Genomic DNA, 26,203 nt, shown 5'->3' with positions numbered 1-26,203 from the left:
TCTGGGGACTTCAGTTTCTCTATAAATTCTACTTTTTGTGTAAAATAGCAAGTATCATTTGGAAAAATACTATGTTTTATGGCTCCAATTTTGGCAGTTTTCTCATTATTTACTTCTTGCATTTTACTTTCTTCACTCCCCAGAGTAGTCAATGTTAAATTTGGTTTGTATTCCAGAAGTATTAAATGCACATATGTATACTTTTTAATACATACGTCTATACAGTTGACTTTTCTGTTTGTATGTGCATATTTTACCTCATTGTTTTAAACCACCGTCTTGCATTATATTGATATACCACCATATATTTTATTAGGTTTACATTAATGGCTGTATAGATTTTTCTTTTTACACACAGTGCTGTAATTTACATCCTTACATAATTGTGCACTTGTGTGAATATATAGGGTAAAATTTCAGATCTCCTAGAACAAAGATTACCCTTTAACAACCTTTGCGCAGATACTGCCACATTATTCTGTTTTATTGGCTTAGACTTAACAGTTTGAGAGTTCCTGGTTTCTATATCCTTGCTAACTCATGTGATTAGTCTTTTAAGTTGTTGCCAATCAGATTGGTCCCAGTCTGATTTGGGAAAACAATTTCAGTATTTTCAATTTGCATTTTAAAATTGAAGTTTCAAAATATTTTCATATTGATGATTTGTGGTTTTTATCTGAGGACAGATTATTCAGTTCTTCTATTTTTTTTCTTTTGGATTATCTTTTTTTTCCCCTACTTTCAAGCTAACAAGTTATGGAATATCTTTTCAAGTTTATTTCCAAGCATTTTATATTAGAGTGCTAACTCACCCAAGGCAGGGAAGTTGGAGGAGTATTAAGTCAGAAAGAAACAGGTTATCCATATCATTTGTCTTCTAACATTGTCTGTGGAATTGTATGGTTTTTTTTTTTTTAGAGGTCTTTAATTTTCATGTAGGCAAATACTGCTTTTCCTCAGTGGTTTCTGGGTTTCATATCAATTTTAGGAAAACTTTACCACACAGTTAAGCTTTTTTTTTTAAACTTTTTAATAGTTGCATAGTAGTCACTTGCGTGGATGTATGATATTTTATTTAAATCAGCAGTACTCAAGTATTTGGTCTCACAATTCCTTTACACTCTTAAAAATTATTGGTGACTCTACAGAGCTTTATGTGGATTTTTATCTATTGTTATTTACTATATTTTTACAGTAAATAATGCTAAGATGTTATTTTATTTTTCACATTTAAAAATGTATAATTTCACCTGAAAAACTTGAGAAATGTAAAATTATTCGTTTAGAAAATCTATCACATGTTAACCTAAGTGACATTTTGTAATGAAAATAATTATTTGAAATAAAAAATATATAATGGGAAGAACAGCATTTTTGCCATCTGTTTTTTTTTTTTTCGGAGTCTCGCCCTGTCGCCCAGGCTGGACCTCCACCTCCCGGGTTCAAGCGATTCTTCTGCCTCAGCCTCCCTAGTAGCCGGAACCACAGGTGTGTGCCACCATGCCCGGCTAATTTTTGTAGTTTCTAATAGAGACGGGGTTTCACCATGTTGGCCAGGCTGATCTTGAACTCCTGACCTCATGATCCACCCACCTCGGCCTCGCAAAGTGCTGGGATTACAGGCATGAGCCACCGCACCTGGCCGCATTTTTGCCGTCTTAGAAGTCAACTGGATTTTCATAGCTGTTTCTGCCTTCAGTCTATGGAGTTAAGATGTTTCATTGGAAGTATAAGAAGACAATACAGCCTCACACAGGTATTTGGTTGGAAAAGGGAGAATAGTTTTTAAAAGCCTTTAAAAATAATTGTTGATATGCTCCTTTGATACACTACTAGGTTTCTTTTTTCCCCCCCCTTTTTCGTAGGACACATGCTCAAAGAGATACTAGGTTTCTTAGAGGCTAGTTGCAATGTGGAATCTGAAACCATATCCAAGAATTTTTTTCTACTTTGTTACATTAAAATCCATTGGTCTGTCAGTGTCTTGCATCTGGAATGGATCTCTTACCTGTGTAAGATTTTTAACATCATACACTGCTTATTTGGAAAATAATGGTTCAGTGAGTTATGCAGATCTTCCAATGTTGACACATTTTCTTATATAGTATCAAACAATAATAATTCATTAATATTACCTCTAAACTCATTAAGCGTCTTTGATTTTTAGGAAGTTGTCAGGCTTACAGTGGCAGATGAAATCTTTCTAAAATTCTGATTTTTCTACTGAAAGCTTAAATTTTAAGCAACAATCTTAAGTTCAGACAATTGCCTAAATATTGTATTTTGTTTTACAGTAGTGGAAGTGGTTTTTGTGCAGATTATGAAAAATATGGAAATAGAATGAAATTTAATGAAACTGGTAATGTTTATTGCCTCATCAAAGTCATTCCTTTTTTTTTGTTCTCAAGACGGAGTTTCACTTTGTTGCCTAGGCTGGAGTGCAATGGTGCGATCTTGGCTCACTGCAACCTCCGCCTCCTGGGTTCATTCTCATGCGTCTGCCTCCCAAGTAGCTGGGATTGCAGGCACCTGCCACCATGCCCATCTAATTTTTGTATTTTTAGTAGAGACAGGGTTTCACCATGATGGCCAAGCTGGTCTTGAACTCCTGACCTCAGGTGATCCACCCACCTCAGCCTCCCAAAGTGCTAGAATTACAGGTGTGAGCCACCATGCCTGGCCCAAAGGCATTCTTATATGAAACTCACATTATTAGTACTGTGAGAGTTGGTAGTAATAAATGTACAGTGACTACTCGTATAGTTTTGTGTCACTGTCTTGGTTCTTGCTAAGGCACCAGCAGATTTAACTACTGTTGCTTTTGCACCGTTAGTGCAAATGTGAATACTGAAAAGCAAAGTGCCTTCTTAGCATTATTATGAAAATGGATCTTAGGGCCTCCTGCCTGTCTGCAGACCACATTTTGAGAACTGCTGATTTAAATAATTCCTTGTTGATAAGCACTTAAGATGTTTTCAAATTTTCCAAAACTAAAAACGTCATTTGTTTGTTTTTGAAGACAGGGTCTCACTCTGTCACCCAGGCTGGGGTGGCGTGTAATCTCGGCTCACTGCAGCCTTCACCTTCCGTACCCAAGCCATCTTTCCACCCCAGCTGGGGCCCCACAGGCATGCACCACCACCATTTTAGTATTTTTTGTAGAGTTGGAGTTTTGCTATTTCCCAGGCTGGCCTTGAACTCGTAGACTCAAGCAATTCATCCACCTCGGCCTCGCAAAATACTGGGATTACAGGCATGAACCAACATGCCTGGCTTTTTTTTTTTTTTTTTTTTTTTTTTTTTGGAAGAGACATGGTCCCATTCTGTCGCCCAGACTGGGGAGCAGTGGCATGATAATAGCTCACTGCAGCCTCAAATTTCTGGGCTCAAATGACCTTCCCACATCAGCTTTCTAAGTAGCTAGGTCCACAGGTGTGCACCACCATGGCTAGCTAAGGTGTTTTTTTTTTTTTTTTTTTTTTTTGAGAGATGCGGGGTCTTGCTATGTTGCTCAGGCTGTTCTCAAACTCCTGACCTCAAGCAGTCCTTTCCCCTTCCCCTTCCATTCCCTGTCCCTGTCCCCATCCCTGTCCCATTCCTTGACAGGGTCTTGCTCTATCACTCACGTTGGCGTGCAGTGGCATGATCATAGCTCACTGCAACCTCGAACTCTTTGGCTCAAGCAATCCTCCTGCCTTGGCCTCCAGAGTGGCAGGGACTATAGACACATGCCATCATGCCTAGCTTATTTTATTTTATTTTATTTTATTTTATTGGAGATGGAGCCTCGCTCTGTCACCAGGCTGGAGTGCAGTGGTGCGATCTCGGCTCACTGCAACCTCCGCCTCCCAGGTTCAAGCGATTCTCCTGCCTCAGCCTCCTGAGTAGCTGGGACTACAGGCGCGTGCCACCACGCCTAGCCAATTTTTGTATTTTTAGTAGAGACGGGGTTTCACCGTGTTGGCCAGGATGGTCTCGATCTCTTGACCTCATGATCCACCCACCTTGGCCTCCCAAAGTGCTGGGATTACGGGCGTGAGCCACTGCGCCCAGCCCATGCCTGGCTAATTTTTTAAATGTCTAGTAGAGATGAGGTCTCACTTTGTTGTCCAGGCTAGTCTTGAGCTCCTGGGCTCAAGTGATCCTCCTGCCTCAGCCTCCTAAAATGCTGTTATTACTGGTATGATCCACCTTTCCTGGCCCCATAGATCTTTATGTGTTTAAATGGCTGGGTGCAGAGGTTTTTGTTTTGAAAAAAGATTGAATTATTTTTAAAAATCCAGCATGTATACTTGACCTCGTTGGTGGTTTTCTTGCCTTTTCTTCTTCTTTTTTATTGATAATGGGGTGGCAGTTGCTGACAAATTATCAAGTACATGTTGAAATGCATCTCATTTTTCTGTCTAGGTGAAGTTACCAAGCATTAATTATAGGATTATGAAATATATATTCAATTTGGAAGGCTCTTCAGACAACATTCGTGTTGATGAGAAAATGAAATTTCCCTTTGACTGCCCTTTGGTATTGTAATTCAGAGAATATTCAGTTTAATTCTTCTAAAGGAGAATCATCTTGGGATAATAACATTTAAGTGTAACTTTAATGTTCCACGAGTTTATCTTCAAGGCATTAGAGAAAATATTATACAGGCGTACCTCATTTTACTGTGCTTCACAAATCATGCCTTTTCTATAAATTGAAGGTTTGTGGAAATCCTGTGTCAAGCAGTTCTGTTGATGCCATGTTTCCAATGGCATGTGCTCACTTGGTGTCTCTGTGTCACATTTCGGTAATTCTCACGATATTTCAAACTTTTATTGTATCTGTTATGATCTGTGATCAGTGATCTTTGATGTTGCTATTATAATTGTTTTGGGGTGCCATGAACATTGGCGATATAAGATGGCAAACTTAATTGATAAATGTTGTATGTGTTCTGACTGCTCCACTGACTGGCCATTCCCATCTTCTTGTCCTTGGGCCTGCCTATTCCCTGAGACACAACAATGTTGAAATTAAGCCAATTAATAGCCCTACAGTGGCCTCTACATGTTATAGTGAAAGGAAGAGTTGCATGTCTCTCACTTTAAATCAAAAGCTTGAAATGATTACGCTTACGAGGAAGACATGTCAAAAGCCAACACAGGCCAAAAGCTAGGTCTGTTGTACCAAATAAGTTAGCCAGGTTGTGAAAGCAAAGGAAAAATTCTTGAAGGAGATCGAAAGTCCTCCTCCAGCAAACACATGAATGATAAGAAAACAAAACAGCCTTATTGCTGATATAGAGTAAGTTCAAGTGGTCTGGGTAGTAAATAAAACCAGCTACAACATTCCCTTATGACAAAGCCTAATCCATAGCAAGGCCCTAACTCTGTTCAGTGTTATGAAGGCTGAGAGAGGTGGGGATGCTGCAGAATAAAAGTTGAAAGCTGGCAGAGGTCAGTTATAAGGTATAAGGAAAGTCACCCCCATAAAAGTACAAGGTGAAGCAGCAAGGGCTGATATAGAAATTGCAGCAAAATCTCCAGATCTAGCTGAGGTAATTGATGAAGGAAGTTTACACTAAAAACAGATTTTCAGTGTAAACGAAACAGCCTTCTACTGGAAGAAGATGCCATCTTCTAGGACTTTGCTAGTTAGAGAGAAGTCATTGCCTAGCTTCAAAGCTACAAAGGACAGGCTGACTCTTGTTAGGGGATCTTGCAGCCAATGACTTTAAGTTGAAGCCAGTGCTCATTTGCCATTCCCAAAATCTTAAGAATCCTGAAGAATGATGCTAAATCCACTCTGCCCATGCTCTAGAAATGGAGCAACAAAGCCTGGATGACAGTGCATCGATTTATAGCATGGTTTACTGAATACTTTAAGCCTACTGTTGAAACCTACTGCCCAGAAAAAAAGTTTCCTTTCAAAATATCACTGCTCCTTGATGATGCGCCTAGTCGCCCAAGAGCTCTGACAGAGATGAATTGTTTTCATGCCTCTTAACACAGTGTACTTTCTGCAGCGTATGGAGCAGCAAAGAGGAATTTTGACTTTCAAGCCTTATTATTTATTAATAAGAACTATATTTCATGAGGCTAAATGCTGTAGATAGTGATTCCTTTGATGGATCTGGACAAAGTAAATGGAAAACCTTCCGAAAGGATTGAGCATTCTGGATGTCATTAAGAACATTCATGATTCATGGGAGGTCAGAATATCAACATGAACAAGAGTTAGGAAGAATTTGATTCCAACCCGTATTGATGACTTTGAAGCGTTCAAGACTTTAGTGGAAGAAGTAACTGCAGATGTGCAGAGAGCAAGAGACCAACAGTAAGAAATGGAGCCTGAAGATGTTACTGAATTGTTGCAGTCTCATGAGAAAACTTGAATGGATAAGGTGTTGCTTCTTATGGGTGAGCAGAAAAAAAGGTTTCTTGAGATGGAATCTATTCCTGGTGAAGATGCTGTGAACATTGTTGAAGTGACAACAAAGGATTTGAATATTACATAAACCAAATTGATAAAGCAACTGCAGGGTTTGGGAGGATTGACTCCAATTTTGAAAGAAATTCTACTATGTAAAATGCTTACAAACAGCATTGCATGCTACAGAGAAATCTTTTGTGAAATGAAGAGTCAATCAGTGTGACAGACTTCGTTGTTGTCTTAAGAAATTGCCACAGCCACCCCAATCTTCAGCAACCACTACTCTGATCAGTCAGCAGCAAACAAGGGAAGACCCTCCATCAGCAAGATTACCACTCTTTGTAGGCTCAGATGATCGTTAGCATTTTTAGCAATAGAATTTTTAATTAAGGTATGTACATTTTTTTTTAGATGTAATGCTATTTCAGACATAATGTAGACTACAGTATAGTGTAAACGTAACTTTTACATGCACCGGGAAACCAAAAAATTTGTGTGACTCTCCTTAAAGATAGTTCCTTTATTGTGATACTCACTTTATTATGATGATCTGGAACTGGACTCACAATATATCCAAGGTATGCCTCTATATATAATATGTTAGGTATATATAAGCTATTATGTATTATGTAGGAATAAAACTATTTTAAGAGAAGTATATACAGATATATTAAAACTGGTATACATTATTTCAGAACATATCTATGCAGCATTACTCAATCTTTATTATTTTCCCAGTTAGGTATTTGATTAAATATAGAATCACATTTAATAGTTTCCCCACTCCTGGCACTCTCATTTCTTCTTGGCTAATTTGTTCCTCTGAGAAATATCAGCCAACCTGTTTCTCGCCTTCTTTTTTTTTTTTTTTTTTTGAGACAGAGTTTCCCTCTGTTGCCCTGGCTGGAGTGCTGTGGCACAATCTCGGCTCACAGCAACCTCCACCACTTGGATTCAAGTGATTCTCGTGCTTCAGCTTCCCGAGTAGCTGTAATTACAGGCACATACCACCAGGCCTGGCTAAATTTTTTTGTATTTTTAGTAGAAACCAGGTTTCACCATGTTGGCCAGGCTGGTCTCGAACTCCTGACCTCACGTGATCCGCCCACCTCAGCCTCCCAAAGTGTTGAGATTACAGGCTTGAGCCACCGCGCCTGGCCCCTTGTCTTATTTTATAGTTTAAGTGTCTGCTGTGTTTTTTTTGTTTTTTTTTTTTGTTTGTTTTTTTGTTTTTTGAGATGGAATTTCGCTCTTGTTGCCCAGGCTGGAGTGCAGTGGCGTGATCTCAGCTCACCGTAGCCTCCTGCTTCAGCCTCCCAAGTAGCTGGGAATACAGGCATGCACCACCATGCCTGGCTAGTTTTGTATTTTTCCTAGAGACGGAGTTTCTCCATGTTGATCAGGCTGGTCTCGAATTCCCAACCTCAGGTGATCCGCCCACCTCAGCCTCCCAGAGTGCTGGGATTACAGGCGTGAACCACCGCGCCCAGCTCTGCTGTGTTTTTCTTAAATAACTGTGCTTGCTTATCTCTGTCAGAGCACTTAGCACACTGTAGTTGTCTCTCTGCGTCATTTCTGTGAATTCCGTTGAGTGATGAGTTTCAGTGTGTCTTGGGTCTCTAGGTATAGCAGGGAATCTGTTATGTAGTAGACATAACATACATATCTTTTAAATGAAAGAAATGGAGAACTCTCATTATTTGCCACTGTAATAACAACTAGCATTTTGCTTTTTTCCCTAAATTTTTGTGGTAAACATAAACATTTACAGTATTAACTATTTTTAAGTGTACAGTTAATGTTAAGTACTTTCTGCAACCAATTATTGTGCAACTAATCTCCAGAACTCTTGTTCATCTTCCAAAACTCTGTAAACTCTATAACCCTAAACTCCCTTCTCTTTGGCTAGTGGCAATCACCATTCTTTTTGTTTCTATGAATTTGACTTCTTATACCTCATATAAGTGGAATCATACAGTATTTGTCTTTTTTGGAGGGGGGCTGGCTTATTCACTTAATGTCCTTAGCTTCCCCTCATGTTTTATGAAGTGTTAGAATTTCCTTCATCAGGGCTTTTTAGTATTCCATTGTGTGTATATATACATTTTTCATTCATCTGTTGATGGACAGGTGGGTTGCTTCTACCTTTTGACTTTTGTGAATAATGTTGCTTTTAACATGGGTATGCAGCTACCATTTTTTGACACTGATTTTTTATTTTTAGATGGGCACTCTGGTTTTTTAAAAATGATAAAAGCAAAACTTGGCAAGCAAACCTGCGGCTGATCTCCAAGTTTGATACTGTTGAAGACTTTTGGGCGTAAGTAACCATTTGTTTTAGTATGTTTGTTGTTTTATTCGTTGTGTAGTTTTTTTATTTTTAAGTCGAATTCACAAAATGAAGTGTGAGTTAAACAGTTAATGAATGTTCATCTATTTTTTTATCTCCTCACAAAAGTTTGAATTGGTGATTATGCTTTATTAGTTTTACAGAGCTTCAATCTTGTCATCCCCCAGCCCCAATTATTGTTTCTTGTCCTGAGATATCCTTAGCTCAAGAATCCATTATTGCCCTTAGAACTTTTGACAGCTAGTTGGAACTTGTTCCACTCCTGGTTGCCAAGATACATTTGCCTCATAACTGGGTATTGCAGTGCGTTGTTGGGTCCTCATTTCTGCAAACTGTTTTCAGTGCAATATCTGGAATTTCCTGTACCAGAGATTTTAAGATATCAAAGGCTGAAGTGTTCAGAATTCACGGTTTGTCAAGGCAATGCCAGTATCTATCATGATACTTTATTCATTTCATTATACTTTGATCAACCTCAAGAAGAATAGTTGAAATATTTTTGAAATTTTGTTTCTGTATAGCAGAAAGTTAAGAATTGGGATCATCAACTTTTGCATGACCTTAAAACAAAATTTAAGGCTGGGCTCAGTGACTCATGCCTGTAATACTAATACTTTGGGATGCTGAGGCAGGAAGATCACTTGCAGCCAGGAGTTCAAGACCAACCTGGTCAACATGAGTCCCTGTTTCTCTATAAAATAAATAAAAATTGTAAAGTCTATTTCAAGAAGTTTTGATAATTGATTCTCTTAAAAACAAAGTTAATCCAGTGTGTCTAATTTACTTGGAGAATGACTAGGGAGGTACTATTTGAGACCATGAAAGGCAAAACTCTTTAATAAGCACTTTAAATTACCTAGCAGTTATCTAAATATTCTAACTTGTACATCTTTTTTTAGGATCATATACATGCTGAATTAGTGATGCTACTCTTATGTTTTAATGTAACCCCCTCAAGATATTCTGCTCATACAAAGAAATAGATTGTGGTATAAAATTTATACATATGTATGTACATCTTCAACAGCAGAAACAATATTTTTCTGTATATTTCCAGTGCTTGGCTTCTAATAGATATTTTGTATTCATTTGTGTTGCTGAAAAAAGCAAAGCATACGATTAAAACCATAAACTTTGAGAGTATTTGAGAACATTCATTTGAGAGTAAACTTTGAGAGTATTTATTTTTTATTAAAAGCATTGACACTTAATAATAACTACATTTAAGGCCTAATAATTTATAGGTCTAGTTTTCTAGTTAAACTAGGATTATTATTCTTTGCCCATCATCAAAACATCAAGTAGTTTTTCTTCTCTAGTTTTGTTTATTCAGGACTCTTAAATAACTCCAGTCTTCTGCACCCCCCAAAAAAAAGCTTTTCATTCTCCTACAGAGAAAAAGGAAGCCTTGAGCCACCTTCCCCAATCAGATTTGCATTTATCTAGTTTGTTTGGCTTTTACCAGTTTACATAATTCTACCTTCTAATTAGAACAGTTCTCCATGCTTCAGTTACATGTAGTCAATGTCATTACATAGTAGGTTTTTATACCATAACTTAGAGATATGAAGGATTTTTCAGTTTTCTATAAATGTGTGGGCCACTTCCTAATTTCTGTTTTTTTCTAGCAAATTTATTGCAGATAACCATTGAGTCCTTTTGTATTTATCCAGACTGCATAGTCTTAGGATTCTGTTTAGATGTGCCATTATAAATTCTCATGATGGACTTACTTGAGAGACCTTTGAGCACCACAGAAGAGAAAGGAGGCAGCAAAAGGGAAAAAGTATTTTATTGAAGGTCATTCCCACAATATCCATTCATTTTATGACATTAGTAGCGCTAATTTTATAGTCACTTAGTATCCCGTCTTTTTTTGTTGCCTAGTGGAGGCTGTCATTGATGATGTAGTTGGGAGTTACCATTAGGTAGTGACTCAGCAAACCTTATGTGGTCTTAGGTTGTCTCACCTAAACTATATTTGTGTGTTATACTATGGAATTTGATTTAAAGATGCCAACTTCTTTCTTAAATCTTTTTTTTTTTTTTGAGATGGAGTCTAGCTCTGTCACCAGGCTGAAGTGCAATGGGGTGATCTCGGCTCACTGCAACCTCCGCCTCCTGGGTTCAAGCGATTTTCCTGCCTCAGCCTCCCTAGTAGCTGGGATTACAGGCGCATGCCACCACGCCCGGCTAATTTTTGTATTTTTAGTAGAGACAGGGTTTCATCATGTTGGTCAGGCTGGTCTCGAACTCCTGACCTCATGATCCACCTGCCTCGGCCTCCCAAAGTGCTGGGATTACAGGCGTGAGCCACTGCACCCGGCCCTTAAATCTTTACCTGAAATATTCCTAGATGGGGTTAACATAGCACCAGGAGAACCAGACTAAGGATAGTAGAATCATCCATGGTCTGTAGACACAGCTAAGATCATTATTTCTGCCATCTAATATTGGAGACAAGCAAAAGATTCTTAAGAGTTGCCAATTTTTAAATCAATTTTGCTGTAAAAGACTACAGGAGATCAAATGATCTAAGCCTCCTACCTTCAGGCAAGCAACTAAGTCATCGCAAATGTTATTCTGTTATTTTGATACTTGGGAAATAGTTTAGAAATACAGACTGCAGGGTTCCATCTTATATTTAGGTGATTATAATCCCAAGATGTAGGGCTTGTAACTATATTTATTTATTTATTTTTCTAAAATCAGTTTTAAAATGATTATTATGTTGACTAACCAGTGACAGTTTGTGGTGTTTGGGAACCGTTGATCTATTCTACTCTTGGATACCTTCAAGGATAATGACTGTTTCAGTCATGCAATCCTGATGGTCAGGAAGTTCATCGTTTCTGGTTTTTGTTTTTGTTTTTGTTTTTGTTTTTTTATGTTTGTGAAAAAAACTGTGTATTAACTTCAGAAATTATTTCATCTACTTAAAGCCACCTTATACCTCTCTTCTCAGTTTCTTATATATATACATATGTATGCACTGAGTTAACTAACATAAAATATATTTTTGTCAGAGCAGTCACTAGAAGTTTTTTTGAAAATTATACCTGTCATCTGAAGTTGATTATTTAACTGCTTTTAAGATCTGTTTTGTCCATTTTAGAAATTGACTCCTTAGAAACAAGTAAACATGAACTTTTATCTGTTTATTTTCATCATATGTTCTAAATGTATATATATGTAAGCACCTAAACTCTATATTACATATTCTGTGTTTTTAATTGTTATTTTCTTTTACCTAGTCTGTACAACCATATCCAGTTGTCTAGTAATTTAATGCCTGGCTGTGACTACTCACTTTTTAAGGTATGCTTAATTGGTGATTTTATATATTTATTATAGGACTGGGCCATTTGGTATTCATTAAGAAATCTTACCATAAACTTAGGAATATTTGATAGTGTGATGAATAGGCTGATAATTTAATTGGCTGTAGTATGCTTTAGTATCAATATATCTTATTCTATTTGTTTATAAAAATTGAGAGAGAGTTACTCTGTGGGCACATACTGAGATTGATTTTGATGAGAGCTTTGATTATCCAGTCTACTCCTTCCTTTATATATTTGAGCAGACTGAGTTTATCAAGCATTCTTAACCTTAGGAGCATGGGTCCTTGGAATACTTATTATTGGGCTTTGTCAGTTGGTAGAGGGACGGGACATTCATTAACTGAAATTGCATAGTTTTTGCATGTATTTTCTAGCTGTAGAAATGTACAGAGCTTCTAAAATATGTTTGCTTCTCAGAAAGTTTAAGAACCTTCAAATTAAGTGAAACCCAAGATTTGATAGCTAATAAGTGACAAAGCCAGGACTCTAATTCTGCAATGTCATGCCTCTGGCTTTAAGTCTTATGTGCTGTTTAAAAACTACATCAATGGCAGTTTTATGGGCAATAAAGTAAGAAGTTGACAGTGTTGTTGCTTAACTGTTTCTAATGATTATCTCTCAAAGTCAAGGTAACAATGTTGTGTAATACTGTTGTCTTCTAACCCTGTAGGATGGTATTGAGCCTATGTGGGAAGATGAGAAAAACAAACGGGGAGGACGATGGCTAATTACATTGAACAAACAGCAGAGACGAAGTGACCTCGATCGCTTTTGGCTAGAGACAGTAAGGTTTTAAAAGTATAAAGCAGTTTTAGAGGTAGTTTTGGAATACTGATACTTAAGATATGTTATGTTTTACATTTGTTACTTAATTTAAGAGAAGGATGCCCAACACTAGAAAATCAGGGTCAGTAATTATTTTTGTTCTGTCATATGACTCCTGTTTATAGTACAGTGAAACATCCTACCACATTATAAGTCAGATATTTTAAGTGATTGGCAGTTGACTCTCACCACAGTAAGCTCACTGTGGTCATTTCATTAACCTCAAAATTATAGAACCTTACATTTTGTATGATTGAAGTTTTTGCAACCCTCTTACAGCATTGCTATATGTATACTAAACTTTTAAATACTTATATTTTTAGAGCGAGGGTCTTGCTCTGTTGCCCAGGCTGGAGTGCGGATATTTATTTATATGGCTCATTTCAGCCTCACCCTCTGGGTTCAAGTGATCCTCCCACTTCAGCCTCTTAAGTAGCTGGGACTACAGGTGCATGCCACCATGCCCAGCTAATTTTCTAATTTTTTTCCAGAGATGGGATCTTGCTATGTTGCCCAGGTTGGTCTCAAACTTCTGGCCTCAAGTGATCCTCCCACTTCAGCCTCCCAAAGTGCTGGAATTACAGGTGTGAGTCACTGTGCCTGTCCCACTAAACTTTTTAGATTAGTGAAGCAAATAATAAAATTGTTGTGTACTACCATTTGACCTACATGTTGTGATATTAACTGGAACTTCTGGCTTTACAAGACAAATTAAATATGAGATAATAAGCATTTTCTGTAGACAGAGGTTCCAAACCCCAAGCTTATAGGAGCGGGGTTTGTAGTCTCTTTTGTATCCCTAGCACTTGAAACCGTGCCTGGTTTATAGTTAGCACTTGTTAAGTTAATCACTTTAAATGTTTGAATAAGTGACTATTTTGCTTTTTTTTAGAGACAGGGTCTTGTTCTGTCGCCCAGGCTAGAGTGCAGTGGGGCCATCATAGCTCACTGTAGCCTCCTGGGTTCAAGCAATCATCCTGCCTTAGCCTCTCAAGTAGCTGGGACTACAGGTGCATGCCAGCACAGCCAGCTAATGAATGAATGACTTTTTAAGAAGAAAATTCTGTTTTTGAGGGGGAAGATCATGAGCAAATACCATTTTTGAATTCCACATTAAAAAGTCAGGACATTTCCATTTTGCAGTTAAAAAAAATCTTCTGGAGATGGATGGTAGTAGGGATGGTTGTACAACAATGTTGAATGTACTTAACACCACTGAACTGTACACTTAAAGGTGGTTAAAATGGTAAATTTTATGTTATTTGTATTTTACCACAATTAAGAAATCTGTTAGGGCTGGGCTCACACCTGTGATCTCAACACTTCAGGAGGCTGAGGCAGGCATTTCACTTAAACTCAGGAGTTCAAGACCAGTTTGGGCAACATGGCAAAACCCTGTCTCTACAAAAAATACAAAAATTAACTGGGTATGGTGACATGTCCCTGTATGTATGCCCACCTACTCAGGAGGCTGAGGTGGAAGGATCATTTGAGCCCAGGAGGTTGAGGCTGCAGTGAGCTGTGATGATCCCACTGCACTCCAGCCAGGGTGACAGAGCAAGACCCTGTCTCAAACAACAACAACAACAAAAAACCAGACCATTAACAAATATTCATAAAAAATAAGAACAAGAGGAGATTAACCATGAATAGCTATTTTTATTATTCTATTAATATTTGTTTGCTCATAAATATAAGCAGCAGCAGAGCAAATGAATATTAATAAAATCAGCTTTTATGTCTGCCATGACATTAACTGCCAAATTTGCTGAAAAAGGCTGATTTGATAGTAAATAAATGAATGAGTATTTAAAAGTCAGGACAGATCAATATATGCAAATAAAATTTACACATTTAAAAAATTAACTCTTGATTTAAAAACTGCCTTTAGTTTCTATGCAAATACAGAAGAGACATTTGCAGTGTAATGAGCTTGTTTATAATCTATTAAATGTAATTTGGGATTTTTTTTTAAGCTTCTGTGCCTTATTGGAGAATCTTTTGATGACTACAGTGATGATGTATGTGGCGCTGTTGTTAATGTTAGAGCTAAAGGTGATAAGATAGCAATATGGACTACTGAATGTGAAAACAGAGAAGCTGTTACACATATAGGGTAAGTTTTGCTCTTTGCCTACTTATTTTACAGTATTAAGATGAGTAAAACCAGAAGTTATTTTATTTGTAGCTTTAGAAATACTTCAGTTTGTAGATCCTGTTTTCCTTGTATTGTTTTCGTGAACACTTTTATAATTTTGAACGGCTCAATTGGTGCGCAACGTCTTGTTTTTTTGGGTTTTTTCACAGCTATTTATTTATTTATTTATTTAGAGATAGAGTCTCACTCTGTTGTCCAGGCTATATATAGTACAGTGGCATGATCTAGGCTCACTGCAACCTCCGCCTCCCGGGTTCAGGAGATTGTTATGTCTCAGCCTCCCGAGTAGCTGGGAATACAGGCGCATGCCACCATGCTTGGGTAATTTTTATATTTTTAGTAGAGACCAGGTTTTGCCACGTTGGCCAGGCTGGTCTTTTAACTTTTGGTCTCAAGTGATCCGTCCACCTCAGCCTCCCAAAGTGCTATCATTACAGGCATGAGCCACTGCGCCTGGCCTTTTTCATATGTTTTTTATTTCTGTAAAATTGCTTTTTCTTAGCAGTGAAGTATATAACCACTAGAGCACTCTCCTTTGGCATGTAGCATTTTTTATTCATTCACAAATGAGAATGTATTATTTCCTACTTTGAAAGTGCTGTTTGGAAAAAAGTACTACTTTGAAAAGAGCTAATGTATGCTCATAATAATAATTCAGTGATTATTGGCAAATAGTATATGTGCATTTAAAGCATGTGTGTTTACTACGTATAATTTTCATTAAAATTTATATAACATATCTTGGTTTTTGTTCCATGTTTAAAACCCACATATGTAGGGTTTTATTAAACCTTTTTTTGTAAATTTTATTCTTTGCAAAAGTGGCTTTTTTTTTTTTTTTGAGACAGGGTCTCACTGTGTTATTCAGGCAAGAGTGCAGTGGTGCAGTCATGGCTCACTTCAGCCTCAACCTCCTGGGCTCAGGTGATACTCCTACCTCAGCCACCCAATTAGCTGCAACTACAGGTGTGTATGACCACACCTGGCTATTTTCTTGTATTTTTTGTAGAGAAGAGGTTTTGCCATGTTGCCCAGACTGGTCATGAACTCCTGGACTTGATCAAGCCACCTCAGCCTTTCAAAGTGCTGAGATTACAGGCGTGAGCCACCATGCTAAACCAGCTGACATTTTTTTTCTAAGATTTCTTTTTACCTCAATTATATTAGTAATATTTGACACCAGGCGCAGTGGCTCACACCTGTAATCGCAGCACTTTGGGAGGCTGAGGCAGGTGGATCACAAGGTCAGGAGATTGAGACCATCCTGGCCAACACGGTGAAACCCCGTCTCTACTAAAAATACAAAAAAAACAATTAGCTGGGCGTGGTGGCGGGCGCCTGTAGTTCCAGCTACTTGGGAGACTGAGGCAGGAGAATGGCATGAACCCGGGAGGCGGAGCTTGCAGTGAGCCAAGATTGGGCCACTGCGCTCCAGCCTGGGAGACAGAGCGAGACTGTCTCACAAAAAAAAAAAAAAAAAAAAAAATTTGACTTACAATTTTATGTTAAAATTAAGTGCTGGTCAGTCAGTGGTCAAAATGTTTGGTTTGCCCCTTTGTGATTTTTCAAATATTATTAATTTTTCTTTTTAAAATTAATTAATTTTTTGAGACAGAGTCACACTCTGTTGCCCAGGCTGGGGTGCAGTAGCGCGATGTCAGCTCACTGCAACCTCCACCTCTTGGGTTCAAGTGATTCTCTTGCCTCAGCCTCCTGAATAGCTGGGACCACAGGCCTGAACCACTGCAGTAGTTTTTGTAGAGACAGGGTTTCGCCATGTTGGCCAGGCTGGTGTCAAACTCCTAGCCTCAAGTCATCCACCTGCCTCAGCCTCCCAAAGTGCTGGGATTTCAGGCGTGATCCATTGCTCTCAGCCATGTAAATTTTTATGTGAACATAATTTATTTCTGGATCAAAAGGTATAGGGATTTTCTACATTTCATGCTATATGGGGTTCCATAAGAGAAAAGAGTTGATTTGTCATCATATTTTAATGTTTCTTCCAGCATCAAAACCTAATTTTGGAGGATTTACTTTTTTTTTTTTTAAATGAGTTAAATTAAGAATTTTTTTCCTACGGAAGTTTTGTATTTTTGTCAATATTAAATGTTTTTGAGTGTATATTAAGACTTCAGATTTTCAAACGAAGATTTTCTTTTTTAACCTTCCAATTTGCATGACTCAATGGTCTTGCTTTTTGACATTTTTAATAATTAAGTATAATTGAAAGGAATGCATTGCATTATAATGCAAATTTGATAATTAACACTTTAGTTACCATAAAATTACTTTTTAATACCTTATTTTAGGGGGAAGGTAGTAAATCTTCTGGAAGGTATAAAAAAAACCTATCCTAGTATCATGTTGGAGGATTTAACTCCATTAATATCTTTATTCCTTTATTTTTATTTGATTTTTGCTTATTTTTGAATTTTTACTATTTTTTTCCTAAAGATTCTTTTTTCTTTTTTTTTTTTTTTTTTGAGACGGAGTCTTGCTCTGTCACCCAGGCTGGAGTGCAGTGGCACAGTCTCACTCAAGCTCACTGCAAGCTCTGCCTCCCAGGTTCACGCCATTCTCCTGCCTCAGCCTCCCGAGTTGCTGGGACTACAGGCACCTGCCACCACACCCGGCTAATTTTTTGTATTTTTAGTAGAGGCGGGGTTTCACCATGTTAGCCAGGATGGTCTCGATCTCCTGACCTCGTGATCCGCCCGCCTCGGCCTCCCAAAGTGCTGGGATTACAGGCGTGAGCCACCGCGCCCAGCCAAAGATTCAAATTTTTAAGATGACCTATGAAGCTCTCTGTGATCTTCCTCTGAAACCTTGTCAGCTTTATCTCATGTTCACTTTACTTACAAGCCATAGCCACACAGCCTAATTTTTATTTCTCAGCTTTCAAATGTGCTCATTCTCTTAACATTATCCTTTTGACCTCGTGATATTTAAAGGGGAAGACTTCTCTAATGTTGTAGATGAGATTAGAATCTCCTTGTTATACAGTATCACAGCCCTTATGTTTACTCTTTGGCACTCATGACAAGTGCCATTTTATTCTTGCAATAGAGTCATGTCTTACTTGAAAATTAGGTTGTAAAGTTAGTATGTAAAGCAGAAATTACATTCTCCCTCGAAGTGTTTCATTCACTCCCTCGAAGTGTTTAATCTCCCTCAAAGTGTTTAGTTTTTGTTTGTGCAGTCTTATAACAGGTATGGTTAATATAATTTGTGTAGTAATATACAATATTTGCTAGGGTTCAGACGTGAAATGTAACATTTTAGATCAAAGAATGAAACATGTTTGTTTTACAGATTTCTGTTTTTAAGTATGCATGTGATACAGGTCTGTCATGTATTTGTGATTATTTGATTATGTTTTCTCTACTAGACTATAAATGCAGTCAGCTCAGGGACTGTCCTTACTTTGTTCACTGTTGATTTAGTAATAATTATAGTATCATAATAAATAACAATATAATAATATAGTAATGCTCCTGTAATTTAGTAATAACATACCTGACTCGCTCTCAAATATTTTAAAAGTAATTAACCAAGAATATCGCAAAAATGAAGAGTAAATTGTGCTGAAAGGAAAAGGGTGTATAATTAATTTCCTATTTTATTCTCAAGTCTATGTTTTTTAATATAAAGACTAATAACCCTAAATTTTTAAATGTATTTCTTGTGAGTAAAAGTTAATGACTACTTTTTTCTTCTTCTTTTTTTTTTTCTTCTAGGAGGGTATACAAGGAAAGGTTAGGACTTCCTCCAAAGATAGTGATTGGTTATCAGTCCCACGCAGACACAGCTACTAAGAGCGGCTCCACCACTAAAAATAGGTTTGTTGTTTAAGAAGACACCTTCTGAGTATTCTCATAGGAGACTGCGTCAAGCAATCGAGATTTGGGAGCTGAACCAAAGCCTCTTCAAAAAGCAGAGTGGACTGCATTTAAATTTGATTTCCATCTTAATGTTACTCAGATATAAGAGAAGTCTCATTCGCCTTTGTCTTGTACTTCTGTGTTCATTTTTTTTTTTTTTTTTGGCTAGAGTTTCCACTATCCCAATCAAAGAATTACAGTACACATCCCCAGAATCCATAAATGTGTTCCTGGCCCACTCTGTAATAGTTCAGTAGAATTACCATTAATTACATACAGATTTTACCTATCCACAATAGTCAGAAAACAACTTGGCATTTCTATACTTTACAGGAAAAAAAATTCTGTTGTTCCATTTTATGCAGAAGCATATTTTGCTGGTTTGAAAGATTATGATGCATACAGTTTTCTAGCAATTTTCTTTGTTTCTTTTTACAGCATTGTCTTTGCTGTACTCTTGCTGATGGCTGCTAGATTTTAATTTATTTGTTTCCCTACTTGATAATATTAGTGATTCTGATTTCAGTTTTTCATTTGTTTTGCTTTTGTTTTTTTCCTCATGTAACATTGGTGAAGGATCCAGGAATATGACACAAAGGTGGAATAAACATTAATTTTGTGCATTCTTTGGTAATTTTTTTTGTTTTTTGTAACTACAAAGCTTTGCTACAAATTTATGCATTTCATTCAAATCAGTGATCTATGTTTGTGTGATTTCCTAAACATAATTGTGGATTATAAAAAATGTAACATCATAATTACATTCCTAACTAGAATTAGTATGTCTGTTTTTGTATCTTTATGCTGTATTTTAACACTTTGTATTACTTAGGTTATTTTGCTTTGGTTAAAAATGGCTCAAGTAGAAAAGCAGTCCCATTCATATTAAGACAGTGTACAAAACTGTAAATAAAATGTGTACAGTGAATTGTCTTTTAGACAACTAGATTTGTCCTTTTATTTCTCCATCTTTATAGAAGGAATTTGTACTTCTTATTGCAAGGCAGTCTCTATATTATGTCTTCTTTTGTGGTGTCTTCCATGTGAACAGCATAAGTTTGGAGCACTAGTTTGATTATTATGTTTATTACAATTTTTAATAAATTGAATAGGTAGTATCATATATATGGAATTAAATTGATGTGGCTATCTTTGTTTTTTTATAAAGTAAGGCACAGTCATTCAGTCTTAGGTAAATAATGTACTCTCTTAATATGTTAATACTCATGAGAATTGGGATCTGATGCATCACCATTTGATTGGTAGCAACAGTGGTTGTAAAACTTGGTTGCTGAATTGAGTTGTTTCTATGTTAAGTGTCAAAATGATAGTGTAGGGAAAGTACAGGTGGTGGGGACATATGCATTAAGAATCTTGTTAGTGTTGCAATCTAAATAGAATGGAATAAACAGGTGTTAAGACATATTTATAGTGGTAAATTGTTGTAGTATGGTATTCTGTAAACTTGAAAACTTGATCTACTCTTTGTAGGTATCATTTGAAAGCAAACTTGAAAATGTTTTGTACATAGTACATACTTGTATAGTCCTGTGAGATGAAGTATGGCTATCAGACCAAAGGATAAGCCAAACTGTAGGTAGCAGAATGGAAATTATTATTTTGAGAGGAAAATTTGTCTTTGAATGGTGATTATGACTTAATCATTTTAAAACTGATAAACTTGACAAAAACCCTGTATGAAATAAACATGAAATTAATAGCACTGATTTCATTGTAAAATTTTAAAGCAGTTTAAAGGGTACCACAGGTTATCACAGTACTCTCAATGCCACAAACACCTCTTGTTCAGTATTCTAGAAATACTGAATCAGAATTCTGTGTTTATTATAATCTCAGCATACTGTACATAATATCTGCTAGTTAAACTTGGGTAATTGGTTAAGGTGACTTACTGTCTATGTCAATATGTATAGTTTTGAGTACTTCAAGAGTTTACTTAAAAGTGATGATGTTACTGGTATGTTGGCAGTGGGTGGGACTGAAGTAGTGTATCTATTATAAATTGATCTATTTTCTTAATTCTAAGATGAAGTCCAATTTTAAGCATCAGCTTTTAGGTGCAAAGGAGGAATTAACACATTAAATGTATACAGTTCTAAATTTTTGAAATAACTGATGTGTAGCATTTGATTATTGGTATTACCATTTTAGAATCATGATGTTATTTTAAACCTTTTTCCTGGGGACAAGAAAGGATAATAAATTACGCTGAATCACTTTTGGCAGTTGCCACTTAAATAGTACAGTGACTTGCAACTTTTATAACTTTATCAGCATCTTCTCTAAATACAAAATTAGGCTATATGTTATTTTCCAACTTACTGTTTTCTCTCTGTTTAGCAGGATATTATAAATAGATTAAATAGATATATTTTCTTTTTTTTTTTTTTTTTTTGAGACGGAGTCTCGCTTTGTCTCCCAGGCTGGAGTGCAGTGGCGTGATCTCCCAGTAGCTGGGACTACAAGCACCTGCCACCATGCCCGGCTAATTTTTTTTGTATTTTTAGTAGAGACGGGGTTTCACTGTGTTAGCCAAGATGGTCTCAATCTCCTGACTTTGTGATCTGCCTGCTTCTGCCTCCCAAAGTGCTGGGATTACAGGTGTGAGCCACCGTACCCAGCCCAAATAGATGTATTTTCATAATAGAGAATTGAAATAGGCTTTAATGGGTGAATAGCAGTTTATTGTAGGCATGTGACATTTCATTTAATGAATTTAAAGTTTATTATCCCAATTCTACAGAAGGATTTAATGCATACTATGCAATTAAATAATTATAACACTACATAGTAATAATTTATGTGCCAGGCAGTAGTTCAGTCACTTTACATGCTTATTAACCTGCAGAATAATCTTTTGAGATGTAGGTGCTGTTACTGAGAATTTAACTTTTGCTTGTAAATTGCAAAGGGTGGATTTGAATTCTGGAAATTTGGTTCCAGAGACAATAATTACATAACACTTTCTCCATAGGGTACAGCCTGTCTAATAGGCTATAGTAAATCACCTCAGCTTGTTATAGGTCGGGCATGCAAACATTTCTCCATTTTACTCCCTTTGGTAATGAATCTAGTAATAGATGGAAATTTTCCCTAGATTCACTGTGTTAGTCAGTTGGGGAAGTTTGGAGGCAAAGATACAGGAGTTTATGGGGAGGTAGTGTACATAAATATAATCATATGCTATATAAGGAAGTTTTGGTCAGCAGCAGACCATATATAGGATGGTGGGCCAGTAACATTGTAACACTGTATTTTTACTGTATCTTTTCCATGTTTTGTTATGTTTAGATACACAAATAACATTATGGAGTATTCAGTATGGTAACATGCCATACAGGTTTGTAGCCTAGGAGCAGTAATAGACTGTTCCCTGAAACCTATATTTGTGGTAGGTTTATACCATTCAGGTTTGTGTAAGTACACAACGAAATCATCTAATGGCCCATTTCTCAAAACATATTCCCATCATTAATCAATGCATGGTCATGTTTTCGTATACATTTTAAGCTTCTGTATTCTAATCTAATATAAATGGCAAAATATTCAAACTGATAGGCATTGAGATTCTTAAATGCTAAAGTTGCATTCAAAAGGATAATTTTAGGCGTTGTGACAAAGCAGTGTTATATTTTAAAGTTAGTGACAAGGCTATGCACCTTTTATCTCTAATTGTTTCTTACAGAATGTTTTTATTATTGAGTAGTAAAACAATAAATGTCAGATCCTTTATACAAATTCAAGATTGACATTGATAAACAAAACTTCAGCATATCACTCAAGGTCAGCGTAGAAATTGTGTGTCTGGAAACTTCTATAGTAATTTTATATTACTGTGACATTAGTATGTGATCACTTTTCTAGTAATGTTTTAAAAAAATATATCTTACAGGCCAGGCATAGTGCTTTATGCCTGTAATCCCAGCACTTTGGGAGGCCAAGGTGGCAGGATTGCATGAGTCCAGGAGTTCAACACCAGTCTGGGCAATAAAGTGAGACCCCATCGCTACAAACAAATTAAAAAATATTTATGTATGTGTGTAATATATATAATATATAACAAAACACATATGTATGTGTATATATAGTATGTCTGGCAGAGTACAATTTAGGGGTTAAGACTGGTCCCTCACATATGGTGTGAGAAACACTGTTCACAGGTTGCTTTCCCCATTAGCCCAGGGCAACTCATTTGCCCATCATTTCCTAGAACAACCGGGTCTGTTACGTCTACAGTTTTCATCTTCATGCAGTTATGGATTTGGTGTCAAAAACTTTGGTCCTGTTCTCTACCATCTTAAAATAAACTCTTGTGTCCTGCTTTACTATGAATTGCAAAGTAGGCATTAGGTAGCCTTCCTACTACCATAGTTTAGAGTTCAATATTCTTATGACCATTCTACTGGTAGAAGCAAAAAATGAACTTGTAGGCATGTGATCACATGTGCCTATGGTGCTGTCTTTTCCAGTACAGGGGAACTAATTTTCATATTTTAATCTTGCAGCTTTTTGTTTACTTCATGCATTGTGATTTCTCATAGTTTTGCACAGAACTCACTTCCCTACCTTTTCTGAAACAAAAGTATGTATACACACATACATATGTATTGAGCACCTCTATTTACTGTGTTCCACGTGCTGGGCATATAGCAAGAACAGAATGGTCTGGGGCCCTGCTCTAAAGAAGATTTAAAAGCAAACATATATTAAAAATGCGTGAGTCTGGCCAGGAGCAGTGGCTCATGCCTGCAACCCCAGCACTTTGGGAGGCTGAAGCGGGTGAATCACCTGAGATCAGGAGTTGAGACCAGCCTGGCCAACATGGTGAAACCCCGTCTCTACTAAAAATACAAAAATTAGCCTGGCATGGTGGCATGCGCCTGTAATTCCAGCTACTTTGGAGACTGAGACAGGAGAATCACTTGAGCCCAGGAAGTGGAGGTTGCAGTGAGCTGAGATCGCGCCACTGCACTCCAGCCTGGGTGACAGAGCAAGACTCCATCTCAAAAAAAAAAAAAAAACGTGTCTGTTCATAAGGTTCTACAAATAGCTGTTGTTACAGAAAATAGGACTAGGGTTTTATTACTGGGGATTATGCAGTCGAGGTAAATATAAAATGAGGTTGTTTCTTCTTTTTTTTATTTGAGACAGAGTCTTGTTTGCCAGGCTGGAGTGCAGTGGCGTGCTCTTAGCTCCGCCTCCCGGGATCAAACGATTCTCTTGCCTCAGCCTCTCGAGTAGCTGGGACTACAGGCGCGTGCCACCACACCCAGCTGATTTTTGTATTTTTAGTAGAGATGGGATTTCACCATGATGGCCAGGATGGTCTCGATCTTTTGACCTCATGATCCACCCACCTCGGCCTCCCAAAGTGCTGGGATTACAGGCGTGAGCCACTGCACCCGGCCCTGGTTCTAAATACTCTTCCAGCTCTAAAACATTGATTCTAAACAGATCACATTCCAGGAGGACTCTAGCAAACCAGCATATGCAAATTATAGCTTTTGCAAGACCGTTTCTACTTTTATATTACTGAACTCTATATGATTGTCCAAGTAAAGTTTTGTGTCTCTTTGATTATTTGATTGTACTTTAAAATTTTTTCACCATTCATTTAACATTTTTTACCATACTGTAGTATTTTTAATGCAATTGTGTTTGCATTGGTGTGGCTTTAGAGGCTTCTCCAACCACCTTCCCAAAATACTGATCTGTGATTTTTTTCTTTAATGTTTGGCCAAACATAATACATGCTTATTTTATTTTTCATCCCTACAGAAAGGTAGAAGATGAGAATTCTGTCTCCTACTGTTGTTTTTCAAGGTGCCACTCAAATTTCTTGTACGTGTCTAGAAACTTGTGCATACAATAGAAGTACACTGTGGCTGGGCATGGTGGCTCATGCCTGTAATCCCAGCACTTTGTGAAGCTGAGGTGGGTGGATCACCTGAGGTCAGGGAGTTTGAGACCAGCCTGGCCAACATGATGAAACCCCGTCTTTACTAAAATTAGAAAAAATTAGCCAGGCGTGGTGGTGTGCGCCTGTAATCCCAGCTACTCGGGAGGCTGAGGCATGAGAATCACTTGAACTCGGGTGGCAGAGGCTGCAGTGAGCTGAGATCATGCCACTGCATTCCAGCCTGCGCAGCTGAGCCAGACTCCATCTCCAAAAAAAAAAAAAAAAAAAAAAAAAGATGTCCAATATATGTAACTTTTTTCTTTGGACACAAAAATTCCATTAGCTTTGTTTTCTCATTTTTACTTGTCATGATGTATGTCGAACACATTATTTTTAGTGTCTGGTGTTCCATTATACAGATGTCTCTCTTGTTGGTTGAATTTTTGCATTCACAGACCCTCAAGTTGGATTCATATCTTTTTACACTAAGCATAAAGAAGACGGATTGGGGTCGGGTATGGTGGCTCACGCCTGTAATCCCAGCACTTCGGGAGGCTGAGGTGGGCGGATCACGAGGTCAGGAGTTCGAGACCAGCCTGGCCAACATACTGAAACCCCGTCTCTAAAAATATGAAAAAAAAATTAGCCAGGCGTGGTGGTGCGCAGCTGTAGCCCCAGCTACTTGGGAGGCTGAGGCAGGAGAATCACTTGAACCCAGGAGGTGGAGGTTGCAGTGAGCATATTGCACCATTGCATTCCAGCCTGCACGACAGAGGAAGACGCCATTTCAAAAAAAAAAAAAAAAAGACGGATTGATTTTCTTCAGCAGTATCAAGTGGCACTTACCATCCACCCCTTTAACACCCAAACCATTCTAATCCATGTATACAGACCATCATCTGTTTCGTTATTGTGTTCTATAATGCAGCTTTGCGAGTTATGCAGTTTTGGTCCTCATGATATTTTTCTGATTGGTTTTTAATGTATTTTGTTCTAACGAGCCAACATTGTTATACATGTAATTTGTTTATTTGCTAGATTGTACTCTTTCCCAAAGATGGGCTATGAACTAGCATCTACTTTCATTTTACCTATTTACCTGTAAACATTGAAAAAACTGAATCAAATGCAGTGATATCGGACCTAGTTTTATTGTTATGCCTTATAATGAATTTAACTTCACAGTTTTCTAAATGAGAGCATTTCCCAAAGACATCTTTATGGTCATAACCAGTTTCCCTTGGCATTTGATTTATTTTTATTTTTATTTATTTATCTTTTTGAGAAGGAGTTTCGCTCTTGTTGCCCAGG

General features: G+C 37.3%; 1 protein-coding gene across 4 annotated transcripts in view, besides 1 other annotated feature; it reads left to right on the top strand.

Annotated features, from left to right (window-relative positions):
- EIF4E (eukaryotic translation initiation factor 4E) overlaps positions 1–20,695 on the top strand; it is a 49,858-nt gene extending 29,163 nt beyond the window's left edge. For 3 of the 4 annotated variants that reach the window (NM_001968.5, NM_001331017.2, NM_001130678.4), the window contains 5 exons: positions 8,639–8,734; positions 12,019–12,082; positions 12,779–12,892; positions 14,910–15,049; positions 18,829–20,695. In NM_001968.5, the coding sequence (NP_001959.1) occupies positions 8,639–8,734; positions 12,019–12,082; positions 12,779–12,892; positions 14,910–15,049; positions 18,829–18,943 (529 nt within the window). In that variant the 3' untranslated portion in view covers positions 18,944–20,695. Of the gene's footprint in view, positions 1–8,638; positions 8,735–12,018; positions 12,083–12,778; positions 12,893–13,424; positions 13,518–14,909; positions 15,050–18,828 lie in introns of all 4 variants that reach the window. The other variant, NM_001130679.3, reaches the window with a different exon arrangement.
- Positions 7,581–7,795: a silencer, noted in NCBI's record as "fragment chr4:99813327-99813541 (GRCh37/hg19 assembly coordinates)". NCBI's record gives its function as "represses an EF-1alpha promoter that drives an FKBP-Casp9 reporter gene in an ReSE screen in K562 erythroleukemia cells {active_cell/tissue: K562}" and the evidence as "EXISTENCE:reporter gene assay evidence [ECO:0000049][PMID:32094911]".

Source organism: Homo sapiens, chromosome 4, assembly GCF_000001405.40.
Source record: "Homo sapiens chromosome 4, GRCh38.p14 Primary Assembly".
Classification (NCBI taxonomy): domain Eukaryota; kingdom Metazoa; phylum Chordata; class Mammalia; order Primates; family Hominidae; genus Homo; species Homo sapiens.
The sequence above is the reverse complement of the archived record's forward strand: the minus strand, read 5'-3'. Positions and strand labels throughout refer to the sequence as shown.